Here is an 18,539-nt window from a genome sequence, read left to right on the forward strand (position 1 = left end):
TCACCAGAATATAGTCTCATGTTCCAAAGTTAGAAACAAGCATATAGTGAGAATTCATTTGGCTATGTCTTAAAATATTATTTGTTTTCCTTTTTTTGACAGAGTGACCTTAAACCTGAAAGTGGTAGCAAGGTAAGAAGTCAGCGGTTTGTCTTGTGTTTATATTTGTGTTTACTCAAGTAGGACTGCTTTTTGAAACATTTTTTCTTAACAAGAGAAGTTACAAAGTATTTACTTTTTCCCCAAGCAAAAATCCTATTTTTCTGGAATTTGGACTCAGTATCATCTCAGGAATAAAAGAATAGCTGAGTCTTGAACAGTAGGAAACATTTTGCTAATGCCTTTATACGCTTTTTTTTTTTAACTGAAACTCCAAAGCTATGCCCTGTGTGGTTTTGAAAGAAATTAGTTTATGGGTTCAGTTGTGGAAAAATATCTTACTTTTACATTATGTAGGACAAGTGATAATAATTGTTTCTGTGTTGGAAAAAAATAATTGCAAAGTTGTTTTGTTTCTTATAGGTTATCTTCTTTATCTGTAATACAGAGGCCTTTCTGTACTTATTTTCCAAATTTAATTCTTTTTTCCTGTAGGCTCAAACAGGCCCACACCCTTCCCGGTTACTTAGTAATACAGCGAAAACAAAAGACTAAGTATTTGAGTGTTTGAAAACTTTAATGTGTACTACATTGCATACCAGGAAGAAAATATGGAACCATTTTCTGCCTCCCACATGCTAGGTGGTTCATTTCCCTTATTCCCTAACAATTTTCCTTAATTTCTGTCCTTCAGATAGCTGGTACACAGCACTCTAATTTAAAGGGACAGCAGTTTAGGTGCCACCTAGAACATAGGAAAGTGATGCTGCCTCCCTTCCATTTTCCTCCTCCTTGCTGCTTGCTTCCCATTCCTCATTGAGCCGAAATTACTGAATAGGTTTGACACAGCAATTAAAGTTGGCCTAGACACAAGAATTCTATTAACTCAAGAGATTGCTTGCTTAACAGTGTCTGCCATCTGTTGCCCTGCAATCCAGAGTGTTTGTGTAAATTAACTCTTCCATGTTGCTAGACTGCTACTCTGAACTATTGAATTGTTTCTGAAAGGGGAATGAAATGGTTCTTAAAACACTTTGTAACAACTGTTGGTTGTTTGTCCTCTCCTCCTAACACATGTACTATCCATTCTTGAATCCTTAAAAAAAAAAAATTAAATAGTTCAAAACAGTATTCTGTAAAAAGTTTCTTCCTGTCTCAAGCTCTCAGTGTCTTAGTTCCCCTTCCCTGGAGGTAACCAGCCATCATTTTTTGTTGTTGCTTACTCTTAATAACTTGTGTTATTATGGTAAAATTTGAACGAAGCGTGGCCTTGATTTGTATATTGAACATGTCCAGAAAATACCACTTTCAGAGGTCAACATCTGATTCAAAGGATATAGGAGCCATAACACATTTCTGCACAGCAACTATGAGAGCATCTTTTATATTAAAACAATAGAAAAAATATGTTTGCAATTACAATGTCTAGAAGTCTACAGATTGCTTCTTGTTGCTGTTTTTCTTTCTTGGTAGTACAGTTAGGACCATTCTTAGGAATGTAGAACAATGTTCCCCAAATTCTGTTCTTGTATCACCTCAGTTGGAATCCCTTGGTATGTACATGAATATATATAGGAAATGTTTATTTCTTGGGCTTCTACTCCTACTGCTTTGGAATCTCTGGAGATAGGGTTTAGGAATTTGCAATTTAAGTAATCTAGGTGATAAGTAGGTAGCTAAGCCCAAACTTTTTGCTGAATGATATGCCCATCTTTTCATTTGAAAACTTAGGAAAATTTAATTCTCTTCTGTGGTAAGCATTGTCTGCCTTCTATAGGCCAAAGGATTAGAGATTTCTCAGCTGAATTAAAACTATTGAGCCATCCAGGTGCAGTGGCTCACGCCTGTAATCCCTACACTTTGGGAGGCTGAGATGGGAGGATGGCTTGAGCCCAGCACTTGGAGACCAGCCTGGGCAACATGGTGAGACCCTGTCTCTATTTTTTAAAAATCATAAAATTAGCTGAGCATTATAATGTGTGCCTGCAGTCCCAACTACTGGGGAGGCTGAGGCTGGAGGATAGCTTGAGCCCGGGAGTTTGAGGCTGCAGTGAGCCATGGTAACACCATTGCACTTCCATCTGGGTAACACAGCATGACCCCATCTCAAAAAAAAAAAAAAAAAAAAACCCAAAAAACTATTGAGCCTTAGATTTTTTTGTAAGAAAGATAGAAAAAGAAAGCATTTAAGCTCACCAAGTTCTATAATAATTTAGAAGTCTCCAAATGTAGTTTAGCCCCTATCTGGGTTAAAAAGTGACTAAAGGCAGTGTTTTCAATCCTGTTTTCCTCATGTCACTGTACTCAAGGGACATGTCTTCATTAAGTAGAGAGTCTGGCTATTGTGTTTCTAGTCACTCTGCTCTACTTCAGGCAGATCAGGCAAGAAAGGCCTTTTGGAACATTTTCAAGACCACCTACATAGGTTTTTATAGAGCTATATTCCAACCTGACTTCAGTTCCAGGAAGAAATTCTTGATCTCTCAGATTTATTTCTTACAGAGGTTTAAATAGGGACTTGGTGTCTAGGATGTAGGTATCTCTCTTCTCCATACTTTATCTGGTTTAAACATTCACCATTAAGAAATGGAAATGGAGTTCATTTCATTGGTTACCTTCCTTTCTCTTGGTTCATGGTTTCTGAATCTTTATGAAGAAGTGATTTTTAAAAGTCAAATTAAAAAGTATCTTCAGCCTATGGGAGAGAGTTTTCATTTCCATTTTCCTTCTTCTCCTTCTTCTACTCCCTGTCTGAACTGCACCATCCCTACTGCCCGCCAAGAAAGAAACACTCAAAATGTTGCTATTCCAAAGTGTAAGTCAGTAACCATTCCCTAATTCTTTTAGAAAACACCTTTCATATTACTTTTATAACACAGGTAAATAATTAATGGTCACCATTGTTTTATTGTTAGATGGATAGTACCTGAGTTGAAGGCCCAGAATTAATATACTAAAAACGTAAAGACTTAAAAACTTAAAGATGTAGCAACAGATTTTTTTTTAACCCGCTTCAATCAAAAATAACTAACTAGAATTAAAAACCATTTGTCTTTGTGAATCTCTTCCTTGCTGGATTAACCCTCATGCTGAGAGCCGTCAATCTCCTACTTATATTTGACTTAACATTTTTCTGGTTTGTTTTTGGTTACGGAAACTCACCTTAGAAACAGACTCAGTGCTCTCTGTGCCAGTTTGCCTGCCTGCTTGCCTGCTCTTTAGCAAGTAACCTATAAATATTCGTGGTCTATGAATTCTCTCTTTGATGATGTATTTACTTCTTGGTTAGCTGTTTTATCACTTAATCTGCCATCAGTTCAAGAGATAAAGTGCATACAAATCGTAACCTGACTAAAAAAGTGGGCACCATTTCATTCATTTCTTCAACAGATATTATCTAGATAATAGTTCAACTGCTTTACTAGTTAAATCTTGTAGTCAAATAGGTCTAGTAATTTGACCTGTTCCCCATTACATTTTTTTTGAGTGAGTATTATAAAATGTACATGGTAAAAAAAAAATTTAAATAGTTCAAAACAGTATACTATAAAAAAAGTTGGCCGGGGGCGGTGACTCACGCCTGTAATCCCAGCATTTTGGGAGGCTGAGGCGGGCGGATCACGAGGTCAGGAGATAGAGCCCATCCTGGCTAACATGGTGAAACCCCGTCTCTACTAAAAATACAAAAAATTAGCCGGCCGTGGCGGCGGGCAACTGTAGTCCCAGCTACTCGGGGCAGGAGAATGGCGTGAACCTAGGAGGTGGAGCTTGCAGTGAGCAGAGATCGCGCCACTGCACTCCAGCCTGGGCGACAAAGCGAGACGCCGTCTCAAAAAAAAAAAAAAAAAAAAATTCCCTCGTATATCCAGCTCTGAGACTTTTAGTTCCCCTTCCCTGGAGGTAACCAGCCATCATTTTTTTGTTGTTGTTTACTCTTCCAAAGATTCCATGCATTCATAAGGATGGATGGATGGATAGACAGACAAACCAACCATCATTTCCTTTAAAAAAGTAAAAAGCTGGCCGGGCGCGGTGGCTCAAGCCTGTAATCCCAGCATTTGGGGAGGCCCAAAATTTGAGTAGTCCCAGGTACTCGGGAGGCTGAGGCAGGAGAATGGCGTGAACCCGGGAGGTGGAGCTTGCAGTGAGCTGAGATCGCGCCACTGCACTCCAGCCTGGGCGACAGAGCGAGACTCCGCCTCAAAAAAAAAAAAAAAAAAAAAGGTAAAAAGCCTCATACATACTATTCTTCACCTTGCTTCTCTTTACTTAAAAATTTTATTTGTTGGCTGCACACTGTGGCTCACGACTGTAGTCCCAGCACTTTGGGAGGCTGAGGTGGACGGATCACACGAGGCCAGGAGTTCGAGACCAGCCCGGCCAACATGGCGAAACCCCGTTTCTACTAAAAATACAAAAATTAGCTGGGAATGGTGGTGTCCCAGCTACATGGGAGGATGAGGCGGTAGAATGGCTTGAACCTGGGAGGCACAGGTTGCAGTGAGCCAAGATTGTGCCAGTGCACTCTAGTCTGGGTGACAGAACGAGACCCTGTCTCAAAAAAAATTTTTTTTTTATTCATCATTATTTCTTGTCAGTTTATTAACATCTTTTGGGCTGGGGGCGGTGGCTCACGCTTGTAATCCGAGCACTTTGGGAGGCCCAGCTGGGTGGATCACGAGGTCAAGACCATCTTGGCCAACATGGTAAAACCCTGTCTCTGCTAAAAATACAAAAATTAGCTGGGCGTGGTGGTGCACACCTGTCGTCGCAGCTACTCGGGAGGCTGAGGCAGGAGAATCGCTTGAACCCGGGAGGCGGAGGTTGCAATGAGCCGAGATTGTGCCAATGCACTCCAGCCTGGTGAGAGAGCGAGACTCTGTCTCAAAAAAAAAAAAAAGATCTTTCTCATTTTTTAAGTAGATATTTAGTATTCCATAGATGAAAGTGTTGATGTGATGACATTTGCTTTCGAAGGATTTGATCTGTTTTTTAAAACAAATAAAATTGTCTCCATAGAGGCTTAACGTGTTTTTTTAACTTCATTTTTAACTTAAGAAGCTTGACTTATGAAATCTAGTAAATTTTACATGTTAGAAGCAGTCTATTAATTGCATTTAAAGTTACATTTTTTCTCCCAGATGCTACTGACTTTTATTATACATACAGTTTTCTGTTATATAATGTATTATGTAACATACAGTTTACTTCTTTTATGAGAGAAACTAAAAGGAATATATTGTTTATAATTATGAAATATAGTTAGTTGATTACATCAAATTAAAAATTTTATTTTTAAGAATTATTTAATATCCCTACCATACCTACTACCTAATTTATTAAAGTTTGGAATGGGATGCTGATGCCCTTTAGACAAGCAGTGATTGCTATTTACCAGAGAATTTTGTCTGGTTATTTCCTGATTTCTTGTGTGTTTTTTTGTTTTGTTTTGTTTTTGGGCGGGGGAACGGAGTGTTGCTCTGTCACCCAGGTTGGAGTGCAGTGGCGCGATCTCGGCTCTGCAACCTCCGCCTCCTGGGTTCAAGCCATTCTCCTCCTGCCTCAGCCTTCTGAGTAGCTGGGATTACAGGCGCCTACCACCACGCCTGGCTAATTTTTGTATTTTTAGTAGAGATGGGGTTTCACCATGTTGGCCAGGCTGGTCTCGAACTCCTGACCTCAGGTGATCCACCTGCCTTGGCCTCTCAAAGTGCTGGGATTACAGGCATGAGCCACCAGCTACTGCACCTGGCTTATTTCCCATTTTCATATACACTTATATTTTGTAACATAATCTTTTGAAAGAAAGCATAGAATGTGATGACAAAATTACTCCTGAAAGACAAAATACCCTTTGCTGAGGGTTCTCAAGGACTAATGTCTTCTATTGGTAAAGCTCTACTTAGAAATGATGTATAGTTTTGCAAAACAGGGTTCAGAAGGGTAAGGAAACATTCTTTTCAAATCAGCCCTCCAATGTTATAACAAATTTTTCACTTCTTAAGTCCTGATAGAGATCATCCTGTGAATGTGTTAATTTTTTTTCTTGAGTGAGGTGTTATATATTTTATCACAATGAGTTCTTAAGAGAGTTTATAGCAATTTGTTTTAGGGGCTGTTTTTCATCTTTGAATTTTGCCATATCTACAGGGAAATTTTTTTATATAACGGTTTGACTCTAGGATTATATACTTTGCAAGGCAGTAATTGTTAAATTATATTCACATCCAGAAAGAAATGGTTCTTACTGACTTGAATATTTTAGTACATTGGAGCTTCATGAGAAGGCTGTCCTCAAGATCCATACCACATGACTGTGTCATAGTTGGGACTGTAAAATGCTGAAATCATATACCTTCAATACTCAAAACATTTTAGGTGGTAAAATGAACCTAATATTAAAATTCATATAGTGTTAGCTCATGCTATAAGGTCCATGGTATTAAGGGGGAGAAATCTTTTCCAGTTTAGAATTTGAAGCCAGAAGTTCCCAACTTGTTTTTCATAAGTTACTGGCCACAGGGATACCAAAGTGTTCCAAATTCAAAGCTACACAGTCTCTACCAGACCACCTAAATACCCATTACATTTGCCAAAGGTGTCCTGTGGCTTAAAATCTACTTTTTCCAATTTTAAATACTTAGAATCCTCTTGGAATAGCAATGTAGGAATTAAAACATAAAGTCTTTATATACCTTATATTTGCCTTTTAAGCTTTTGAAAGCCTAAATGTAAGCTGTATAGGCTGAAGGTATAATGCCCTGTTTTTTGGGGTTTTTGTTTTGTTTTGTTTTGTTTTTGAGACAGAGTGTCACTCTGTTGCCCAGGCTGGAGTGCAGTGGCACGATCTTGGTTCACTGCAACCTCCGCCTCTTGGGTTCAAGTGATTCTCCTGCCTCAGCCTCTCAAGTAGCTGGGACTACAGGTGTGTGCCACCACACCCAGCTAATTTTTTTGTAGTTTTAGTAGAGATGGGGTTTCACCCTGTTAGCCAGGATGGTCTCGAGCTCCTGACCTCATGATCCGCCTGTCTCGGCCTCCCCAAGTGCTGGGATTATAGGCATGAGCCACTGCACCCGGCTTCCCTGTCTGTCGTAATGCGTCATAATCATGATTCTGGTTCATTCTTTCCTACATTTATGTCCTGATGACAAAGTACACTCCATTCCTTAAGTGTGTGCTCTTCTCTCATGTTTTCTCATAAACAAAGTTCATCGTGAAATCCACACCCATTGACCCCCACATCCTTTCTATGTGGTTGCCAGTTGAGACATTTCTTTGTTGTTCTCTTTTTTTTTTTTTTTTTTTGGTGGGGGGACGAAATCTCACTCTTGTCACCAGGCTGGAGTGCAACGGTGTGATCTCGGCTCACTGCAACCTCTGCCTCCCGGGTTCAAGCGATTCTTCTGCCTCAGCCTCCTGAGTAGCTGGGATTACAGGCACACACTGCCATGCCCAGCTAATTTTTGTATTTTTAGTAGAGATGGGGTTTCACCATGTTGGCCAGGATGATCTTGATCTCCTGACCTCGTGATCCGCCCACCTTGGCCTCTCATGTAATTCATGCCTGGGATTACAGGCATGAGCCACCGCGACTGGCCTTTTTGTCATTCTCTTAATCTTATCAAATTGGGTCAGTGCTTATGGTGCGACAAGGATCTGGGAAATTACTCCTCTATGTAGCTGGTGGAAGAGAGAAAAATCTACTTACGGTAGTGCTTCTTCAGTCTTCCTAGACATAAGAGAATGGTGTTTTCTTCTCTCTACCCTTTAGAAGCCTGCTGCTCTAGGTTTCACCACAATGTCCTTGGCTCAGAAAATTGTGTTGAGATAATTGAATATGACTTTAGAATTCACATTGATCTGAGCTTTTCGTTTTACAAACGAGGAAACTGATTTATAACATTGGGCTTGAAGATATTAGATATAATTTTAATTTTGAGCAGCTTTATAAATATTCTATTCAGGTATTACAAAATATTTCCTTTTTCCCTAAAAAGTCCGTCTTTTGTGTTTATATGTATATAAATATATTTATTTATTTTTGAGACAGGGTCTTGATCTGTCCTCCAGGCTGGAGTACAGTGGCACAATCCTAGCTCACTATAGCCTTGAACTCCTGGGCTCAGGTGATCCTCCTGCCTCAGCCTTCCCAGTGTTGGGATTCACCAGATGTGAACCAAGGTGCCCAGCCCTACTTATTTATTTTAGTGGGGAATTAAAGCCTTAATGAACCTTGAACTTGAGGAACCAGTTTTATTTAAACAGTTAATTTCCATGAGTTTTGAGCTAAAGTCAGAGTAGACTTAACAGCAATTTGTTTTAGAACCTATAATACCAAAACTCACAGCAATTTTGTTGTTTGCCAGTGTATTCTAAGCTTTTCGAAGAAAAAGAAGCATGCATATTAATTGCTTGGTAGGGGTTATGCTGGAAGAACTTTGGATTTGATTCACCACTTGTAACTAAAATCATAGTATTGCAATTATTACTTTCCAGGCCAAAGATTGAGAGCATTAAAATCTGGGCATGGACATAACCAGCTAGATATGCCTCAATACCTGAAGGGATAAATTAAAGTCAACTATAAACTGTAAGCTTTTCACTTAAGCATCCATTAGCTTTAGTCTAGTGCTTAGCTGTGGAAATGAAGACTGGGGGGAACTGTGCCTAGGGGAAGGGTGGAGGTGAAGGGAGGTTATGTGTTAATAGAACTTTTTTCATTTCAGTTTAAAAACAAGCGATTTGGTTTATTTCCAAATTTGGCTGAGAGTCCTGGCTGCTAAGAGCTGTGCCTTCAACATCTCTTTGATTATTATGTATTTGATTAAAAGTGGGGTCACTATGGTTTGCATCTACTTGGCTATCAGTATCCTAAAGGGAGTGTATGCCTCTTTCTCTTCTCTTTCCTTTAATGGGTTAGACAGGTTGGTCTTTTTTTTGCGTCCCCAGGGATGGATTGATCTTAAAACAGGCACATTTTGCAGTACTTAGTTCAAAGAACACCATATGTTTTAAGTTATTTATTGTTTAGAAATTTTTACATTTCAGCATAGTACGGTTTTGGCTGTCTTTGTTCTCTTTCTTCTTCAGTTGCTTATTACCTTTTTCTAAGGCTCACCCTACTTAGCAGAGATCCAGGGCTTTTGATTGTAAAAGAGGCTAAAAGCTTTGAAATTTAGAGAATCCATTTATATGAAGTATATGATTTTTACTCTAATTATAGATTAAACATCATAATACATATATTATGCTGTGATGCTCTCATATAAGCCTTTCAAATTATCCCTTTTAAAAATAGTAACTACATTTTTTGTCTATAAATCATTGGTATTTATGTAGCTAAAGCATAAAAGACCATGAACATTTTCTTGATGGAATTCAATTATTTCTCGGTTACTGTAGTGGAATATTTATTTTAAAAGGCAGCATTATAAATTAACTTGATGCACATACTACCATCGCTACCACTCCTACCTTCCGAATCTGTAGATAGTAACATTTGTTGTATTTTTCAAAGATTGACTTGTAACTCATTTTAATTAATCGGATCCTTACTAGACTAGTTGAAATGTCCCAGATAATGATAATCATTAAAGTCTTAAAGAAGTATAGAAGTATGTTAATATGGTTTCTTTAAAACCTTTCGTTTGCCATTTTTCTTGCCTACAGACTAATTTCTTTCAGGTTTGGGGCATGTATTCATTTGCATGACAGTGTTTTGGATATATGAAATTAAAACTCATTTCATGGACTGCTCTAAAGTATATTGGGGCCAATGTGATTGGTTTCTGGAAATTCTTGGAGATTATTGAAAACGGTGGTTAAGCAGAGCTAATATTCCATGTTCATACCCTGATATACTTCTACATTTTGCAAAGATGGTATTTTGGGCAGCAGCAACCTATGCTAAAGGGTTATTGTCCTCTGGCAGTAAGTTAGCAGGCCTTTTGTACTATACAGCTGGTTAATGGAATCAATAACTCGTTTGATACTTGAATTGAGTAAAAAAATTGTAATAACAGCTTTATCGTGATACAATTCACATACCATACAGTTTACCTATTTAAAATGTACAAATCAATGGTTTTTAGTGTATTTACAGAACTGTGCAGTCTATTTTAGAACAATTTCCTCACTCCAAGAAGAAACCCCATATTCATTAGCAGTCGTTTTCCATTTCCCCACAACTCGTCCTCCTCACACCAGCCCTAGGCAACCACTACTAATCTACTTCTAACTCTATTGATTGTCCTGTTGTGAACATTTTATGTAAACAGATTTATATAATATGTAGTCTTTTGTGTCTGCTTTCTTTCACTTAGGATAATGCTGTGAAGTTTGTAGCATATATCAATACTTCAGTACTTTTTATTGCCAAGATTTGTTTTTTAAGATTATTTTATCATTTTCTTTCCCTTGACTCCATTTTTTCTCTTTTCATTGTGAAATCAATTCTAAGGTCTCCTGTCATAATTATTATGATTTCAAGGAGTGAACCAGTATATTTTTGTGATCTACAAGCAATCATCTGTATGATCTAGAGCATTTCACAGTTGATCTACATGTTAGAAGAGCTTTTTGGACTTTAAAAAATGTTTTTAGAAAGTGTGATGTTAGCTATTGCCAGTGGCAAGCCCAGCTGAACCAGGTACATCATCATGACCACAGAGTAGTCCATTTCAATATAGTTTGTATCATTAACATTTTTTAACATCTAAAAAAGTTTAGGTCATTTCTATGCTTTCATTAGTGATTCTTCACTAGGAAGGAACCTAGTGAAGTGCCAGTATGTTATCAGAAATAAAATTCCCAGTCTATCCATTGCTTATATATTTGTAAACACCAAAATGCATGAAAGATGAAGTTCTGGTATCAGTTACAGGGTTGACATAGCTTGATCAAGAAAATGTACATGTGCTATGTTAATCTTCTTTCTTTTTGTTTGTTATTTTTGAATTTTTTTTTTTTTTTATTTCAGGACCCTTCAAAAAATGATACATGCAAAAGGTTAGTATCTCCTTAACAGCTTTCCATACGTTCAAGGTAATGTCTGGCAAGAGACTCTTCCATAAGTATATGTATGTAACATAACTTATGAGTGCAGTTTGACAACTAATTCTTTTTTGGCCCAAATCATTGCAAATTCAGTTGTTCCTTGACATTAGAAAAATTAACTTTTACAGTTTCAGCCATTTTGAATAATCTAAAAGTTTCATGCCTTGAGTCATTTTTTAATCTTATTGTGACATAAATTGGAATCACACTCAGTAAGAGGCCAGGATGCATGGACAGGTAGCTACTATTGGGTCAGCCTTTAGTCCCGAAGTTCAACCCAGCTACATGATTCTACTTAAAACTTAATCGCATTTACTTCTCACAACCACTCTGTAAGGTAAGTGCTATTATTACATATTGCAGGAGAAAAAAATACTACGGTCATATTTAGGAATTTGGGTTTTCTCAGGTTTATTTACAATATATTCCTTGGCATTAATATTAGTAATTCATTAGTATTAGCTCTGAAAGTTATAAATTGCCTTACCTTAAGTGCCTCTATCTAAAATGACTGTGGAATCCTTGGCTTGTACAGTATCTTTGTGGAGATTATATAGAGCTAGCCATTCTATTTTTTGGACATCTCGAAGTATTTCAGAGAAAGAAAATATGTCTTTTTTTCCCATAAAGTATCAGATCTATTACTTGAGGTAACGGACACAGTATAAAAAATTACAAACTATTAGTAAATTTAGTTTCCTTAATATTAAGGGCTTAGGATCAGCGAAATGCTGCATAAAAATTTTGAAAATACAAGCCACAAAATTGCAGATTTTAAACAAAACTTATGCTTATGCAGGGCCGGGCGCGGTGGCTCACGCTTGTAATCCCAGCACTTTGGGAGGCTGAGGCGGGTGGATCATGAGGTCAGGAGTTCGAGACCAGCCTGGACAACATGGCGAAACCCCATCTCTGCTAAAAATACAAAATTAGCTGGGCATGGTGGTGCGAGCTTTGGGAGGCCAAGGCAGGAGAATCGCTTGAACCTTGGGAGGTGGAGGTTGCAGTGAGCCAAGATCGCTCCATTGCACTCCAGCCTGGGCAACGAGAACGAAACTCCATCTCAAAAAAAAAAACCAAACCTTATGCTTATGCTATAAAACTTAGACTTAAGCAAAGCATAAAACTGATAAAGAATTATTAGGTAGAAGATATAAAGAATTCCTACAAATCAGTTTTTTAAAACCTCAGTAGAATATGAGAAAAAGATTTAAGCACTTTACAGAAAAGGAAACACAAATGTAAACATATGGAAATGAGGTTTAATCTCATTCATCATTAGTGATATGTGAATTAAAATCATAGGTATATTTCATACCTAACCAGATTGGTAAAAATTAAAAATTTTGCAAATAAGAGTTGGTTGGAAAGTTTATCACCGACTCTTAAGCACTCCTAGGGTAATGTAAATGAGTATAATCACTTTGGAAAACAGTTTGGCATTATCTAGTAAATTTGATAGGATGACTTAACTTTTGACCCAGCAATTCCATTTCTAATGATATACTTGATAGAAATGTGTGCCCAGGTACACCCAGAAATATATGCAAGAATGTTCATAGCAGTGTTATTCGAGATATTCAAACATCAGAGACAACCCTAATAAATTGTGGTATATTCATACAATGGAATACTACAAAACAATAAAAATAAAGGAATCACAAACATGTAGTAGTCTAGATGGATCTCCAAGAAGAAAAATCTGTCTTATGGTAGGAAGTTATTGTTGAACCTGAATCTCCTGTGATGCAGTATAAATGTATTTCCTCTGGTTCTCTCCTCAGTGGCAGTTAAGTATTAGGAAAGATTATGTGAGGATTGGTGTCAACCATTCTCAGTCTTTTGTACTAAAGAAATTTTCTGGCCGGCGTGGTGGCTCATGCCTGTAGTCTCAGCAAACTGGGAGGCCGAGGTGGGTGGATCACGAGGACGGGCTGAGACAGAAGAATGGCGTGAACCCCAGAGGTGGAGCTTGCAGTGAGCCAAGATCGCGCCACCGCACTCCGGCCTGGGTGACAATGAGACTCCGTCTCAAAAAAAAAAAAAAGAAAGAAAGAAAGAAATTTTCTCCTTCAATGTTTTCTCAAGGATCCTACTTTTGGATTCTTCAGTCTCTTGCGGTTACTCTTCAAGGAGTCTGAATTCATTACTCTTATCAGGAGATTACTTCAGAGTTCCCATGTGCATATTGCTGTTATACGTGCCATATTGCTTGGTTTTGTAAACAAAGCTACCTGGCTGATATTCTAAACTAGTCCAGAGTAGCTTTCTGCTGTACGTAAGCATACAGAGTGCTAGGCATGTTTAGGCAAAGAGAATCATTTTTCTTATGAACTTCAGCTCGTTTTATTGACTTCAAAACCTTTTAATACCAAGACTCATATGTCTTAAGTAGAGGGGCAGCCGGGTCATTTGGATCATGGAAGAATTATACCTTAAAACTAGTGTGCTAATAAGTTCTATTAAAGAATTATTATGTTAAGGAGAATGATGACTGTTCTGAAGCTCCTAAGGAAGGTCTCTTGCAGTACTTTTGAAGCTGCCATTTGCTTCACCCTGTTAGAACTGTATATGCTTTGTGTGTATGTGTATCCTTATTAGTGTCCAAACTTAACTAGGGATTAAGAGGATGGGTTTGGAATCAGACTGTCCAGCTGCCTTTCTAGCTTTGGGATTTGGGGTGCAAAGCTTATATTTCCCTTGTATGAGATGAGAATAATAACCCTATTTCGTAGGTTATCCTATTTCATAAGGATTAAATCTTTAAAATACATATGAAGCAGATAGGATATTTCTGGTAGTTATATTAGATATGATTACTTCCAAATTTATATTGGGATGGATATGTTTTTATACATATATGAAATGTCACATACATAATGGTGTTTTTTCCTGTTTAAAAATGTTTAATTGTAGAATACGTGAAAAGCAAAAGCACAATGAAGAAAATGTGAGAGTATCCATAATCCCTAACTCAGAAATAACCACTATATGACTTTGTAGAAACACATATAGAGGCATTTAAAGACATCTTATTTGATATCATACTATTGGTTGTTTTTAACCTTTTAAAAAATTACTTTGTAATATTGTCACTCCAATTCAAATATTTTTCCCCAACTACTTTGTGATAAAAGCAGTTAAATTTCCCAAAGTAAATAAAAACTCCTTGCCTATATAAAAACATGTGAAAGCTGAAAGATAGTGAACATTTGGCTTAAAATATTAACAACTTTATTGCTTTCTCCCCCTATTCCTAGTTGCTGGGCATATTGGATTTTACCCATCATAGGCGCTGTTCTCTTAGGTTTCCTGTACCGCTACTACACATCGGAAAGCAAATCCTCCTGAGGAGGCCTTGCTGAAGTTAGAAAGTGCATCCACTTTGGGGCGAAAACTAGAGACTTGCTTGGGGGCTGCAGAAGTGCCCTCTCCTCGAATCCTGCCAGTTGCATTCTTCCCCCTTGGAGCCAAGACGATTGGCCAGACATCACCTCAGATCTGAGACCAGCGTCTTCCATCTCTCAGAGCCTTACTCCCAAAGTACCTGCTCACTGTTCCGTGTTGAACAATTGCCGGTGTTTCCTCTCTTCACTGGTTTCCATGAGTACCCTTATATTTCACAACTTTCTGTTCATAAGTTATAGTGACATTGCTCTTTGGTAAAAATGCCTGCTTTCCAATACTTTGATTGCATATTAGACATTCTTAACAGGGCGGCAGTCTAGTGTTGAAAGTTTTATTTTTCCATTTTTCTTTTAAGTAAATTTTTTTTAAAAAATTCTGATTTAGGGCTAGGTGTGGTGGCTCAGGCCTGTAATCCTGGCACTTTGGGAGGCCAAGGTGGGAAGATCGCTTGAGGCCAAGAGTTCAAGACCAGCCTGGGCAACATAGCGAGACCCCTATCTGTATTAAAAAAAAATCTGATTTAATTCTTTTATTTATCATAAGGGGTTTAATTCCTGAAGTAAAGGTTTGCACCTATTAAACTTAAAACTGCCAAATGATTTTTGTTCTTTTATGTGCGTGATAAAAATACAAAGAATGGTGTGGCCACCTCCTCCCTTTCAAGCTAGGGCAGCAGGTAGCTCTTCCCAGCCCCTGAGCCCAGCCCCTTCCCAAGTGGTGCCGGACAAAAAACTACATGGCCCTTTCGTGTCTTGGGGGTGGAAAGGTAGGGATGAATTGGGGTGATAGAACCCTGGTGAATTCAGAGTAATCTTTCTTTAGAAAACTGGTGTTTTCTAAAGAAACAGGATAGGAGTTTAGAGAAGGCACCAAAGCTTTCACTTTGGTTTGGCACCAGTTTCTAACCATCTGTTTTTTCTACCCTAGCTATCTTTTATTGGTAAAATATAAATGTATAATTATGTTTGTAGAGCTTTACCAAGGAGTTTCCCTCCTTTTTTGTTTGTTGATTAGCAAATTTTTGATTCTCCATTTTCCAAAAGTAAGAGACTCCAGCATGGCCTTCTGTTTGCCCCGCAGTAAAGTAACTTCCATATAAAATGGTATTTGAAAGTGAGAGTTCATGACAACAGACCGTTTTCCATTTCATCTGTATTTTATCTCCGTGACTCCAACTTGTGGGTTTGTTCTGTTTTTCCATGAGAATAAAATACTGGCGGTTTTTTTCTCAGATGTGTGTTCATTGAGAAGTAGGTTACTAGAATTATGTTACTGTGTCTTATTGGTTCAATGATGATTTCTCTGGCATATTAGACTTTTATTTTTTCCCCCATGGAAGCACTTGAGGAAATAAATAGTACACTGGCTGTTTTCTGCCAGCAACTGTGGTGATTTTTCTCCCTGTCCTTTGAGAATTGCTAGTCTGCTTCTGAGCCATTGTCATATCCAGCAGGGAGCAGCTTGGTTCAAGAAGGACCATAGAGGCTGCTCAGCATCTCCTCCCTCCCTCCCAGCTTGCCAGGGATTTGATGAGACAGGAAACTGCCCAGCAAACCAGGGACTGCCCATGTAAACTATTTAAGAAAAAGTTCAACCCAGGTCTTGTATCCTGTGATTTAGCAGTTGAATGAATACAGAATTCATCAAAATAATATTAACCTTGTACTTGCACACTTGGATATATTTGGGAGTAATTTTAGGAGATTTCTGGCTGACTTTTATTATCAGGGATATGGGTTTAGTAAAGCTTTTATCTTTAGAAAAATGTTTGTATGCATTATAAGATGCTACTTTTAAGACAATATTGAAAAAAACTTTGGTTATTATTTAACAAAAGTGGTATGACTTGATGCTTCTCTATTTAAAGGCAAGGAAGGATTGGTATATGATTGCCTGTAATAAATAAATTGCGTGATTATTGGAGTACATTGGGGTAAAAGTAAAGAACAGAGGAGTATTGAGGAGCTTGAAAGGGAACATTCAAACTAAAGCCAAGCCTGAAGATAACTTGAATCAGTTGTAAAAGTGTGTTGGCAATGTCCGAAATTGAATGAAAAACATCTGGCTTATAAGAAATGTTAAAGAACTACCATCTTAAGTAAAATTGGTGTTTTTGTTATTTTTAAGGTAAATGCCAATGCAAAAGGTATGTTTTTCTACTTCACATTGGTTTTCTTTTCCTGTTTACATCTGCACTTGTTTTTTGCTGAGAGCCAGAGGAAAAGATAATTAGACTTTGTCTCTTCCACCCATGAAATCCCCCAGTACCCAGGGCTTCTTCTGAACTACTGCCGATGTGATGTCACTTTGTATCTGGAAAATCACTTTGGGGTCCATTTACTGTTATTTTGTTGCCTACAAAAACAGCCAGGTGAAAGCTAAATCTTGTGTGAGAGTTTGCAGAGGTTTTTCTATACAATAAAGTAGTATAGCACACTAGCCAAATCCATCCAAAAGGACCTTTTTTTTAGGAAGTAGACTTGAATTCACAAAACAGTCTTGACATGGGTAGCTGGTGAAAAACCCTCTGGAGAGCAAGTGGAGCCAGTCCCCATTGGCTGACAGTGCCACCTGGAGCTGGTCTCTGGGGTGTTCGGTTGTTTATTCCTGAGGAAGACTAGCTGCTGCTGCTGCTGCTGCTGCAAACTGTACTGTACACATCATGGCTGCTGGACACGAAGGAGGAGGTGAGAGAAGTTTCATGCTACCGAAATAGAGGGTGTTGGTACCACTGCCCCTGGCCTGAGAGCCAGGGTTTAAACCTGCCTCAGTAGAGTCTAGTTTGAAATGACACCAAAATTCCTCAGCCCCTACTCAGCAATTGGTTTTGGTTTCCAAATGACTTCTGCATTTGTAAAGATAACAGAGTGGTGGGGTCAAAGTTTATCTTGTGTTTAGATCTCTTCAAGACTGCTTAAGCAAAAACAAAAATCCCTTGGAACCTATCGTTTGAGCCTGTAAAGTTGTTTTAGCAGTTGTCATAAATGCATATGTTGTGAAATCAGAACACTGTCGAGTTTATACTCATTTAGCTGCAATGTGGGACAATGAAAAATGCTTTACAGGCCTGGAGTATCATTACTTATGGTATCTCCTGCTTTAAAATCTCAAGCGATATCTATCTGGTTAAATTCCATTTTAGGAGATTGAGATGCAGAACGTTAATGTTCATTACCTCCTCCTACCCCAAGAGAAATGGATTCAGACATGTCTTGTCTCAACAAGAAATTGATTTTTTTTTAAACTATCTTATTCTGTTGCCAAATATCACAGAAGTAATGAGGAGTTTAGTTACATTTGGCTGTTGTGCTCTGAAAGAGCCAGGTTTGGAATTTGTGGGGGTGATCTAGGAAGAAGGTTCCAAAGAAGCAGAGGCATTTGTCAAGTTACCTACCCTATATCCAGCATCCTCCTCATGAGCTTCAGTAGCTGCTCTTTGCCCACGCTTGTATCCTACGTTTGCTATTTGGGCAAACCATTACTTCAGTTATTTAACTTCCCTTTTTTTTTAACTTCACCTTTGACTATGAACAAGTAACGGTAACATTCCTTTTGTGTATTCAATAATGCAGTTAGTTTACCTTTTTCAGAATATTTTGAACAAAGATCTTTGTCTCTTTCTGCTGGAATGCGCACACAGTGAACGTTTGTTAGAACTACACACAATAAAGACACTGTTTTCCTTTTCTTGCCCCGACTACACTTATTATTTTTAATTTAAAAAGGTGTTTTTTAAGTAGAAGTGTTGGTTTTGTAATCCTCAGGTGTTCTGGAAGAAAAGGATTTCAGAAGCATGACAGTCTCCCGTGTCTGTGCTAATGGTGTGTTTAGCATAACGTGGTGGGGAGTTCCGTGGTTCTCCAGGATTCTCCTCACTGTTCTTTTCGTGAAGTGAATCGTTCATTTGATAATCGTGAAATGCAAAAAGCAAGGCTGTGTTTTAATGGCTGTGAAGTGGGAACGGGGTAGCCAGG

The 18,539-nt window shown here is 38.2% G+C and overlaps 1 protein-coding gene across 1 annotated transcript in view, besides 1 other annotated feature; it reads left to right on the forward strand.

The window, feature by feature from the left end:
* The window catches only part of CYB5B (cytochrome b5 type B), a 41,646-nt gene extending 23,394 nt beyond the window's left edge, over window positions 1-18,252 (forward strand). Inside the window, exons 3-5 of the mRNA NM_030579.3 lie at window positions 103-132; window positions 11,081-11,109; window positions 14,418-18,252. Coding sequence (NP_085056.2) covers window positions 103-132; window positions 11,081-11,109; window positions 14,418-14,508 — 150 coding nt within the window. The 3' untranslated portion in view covers window positions 14,509-18,252. The remainder of the gene's footprint in view (window positions 1-102; window positions 133-11,080; window positions 11,110-14,417) is intronic.
* Window positions 6,964-7,181: a silencer, noted in NCBI's record as "fragment chr16:69488879-69489096 (GRCh37/hg19 assembly coordinates)". NCBI's record gives its function as "represses an EF-1alpha promoter that drives an FKBP-Casp9 reporter gene in an ReSE screen in HepG2 liver carcinoma cells {active_cell/tissue: HepG2}" and the evidence as "EXISTENCE:reporter gene assay evidence [ECO:0000049][PMID:32094911]".
* Window positions 18,253-18,539: the final 287 nt, after the last annotated feature.

This window comes from Homo sapiens, chromosome 16, assembly GCF_000001405.40.
Source record: "Homo sapiens chromosome 16, GRCh38.p14 Primary Assembly".
In the NCBI taxonomy this organism is placed as follows: domain Eukaryota; kingdom Metazoa; phylum Chordata; class Mammalia; order Primates; family Hominidae; genus Homo; species Homo sapiens.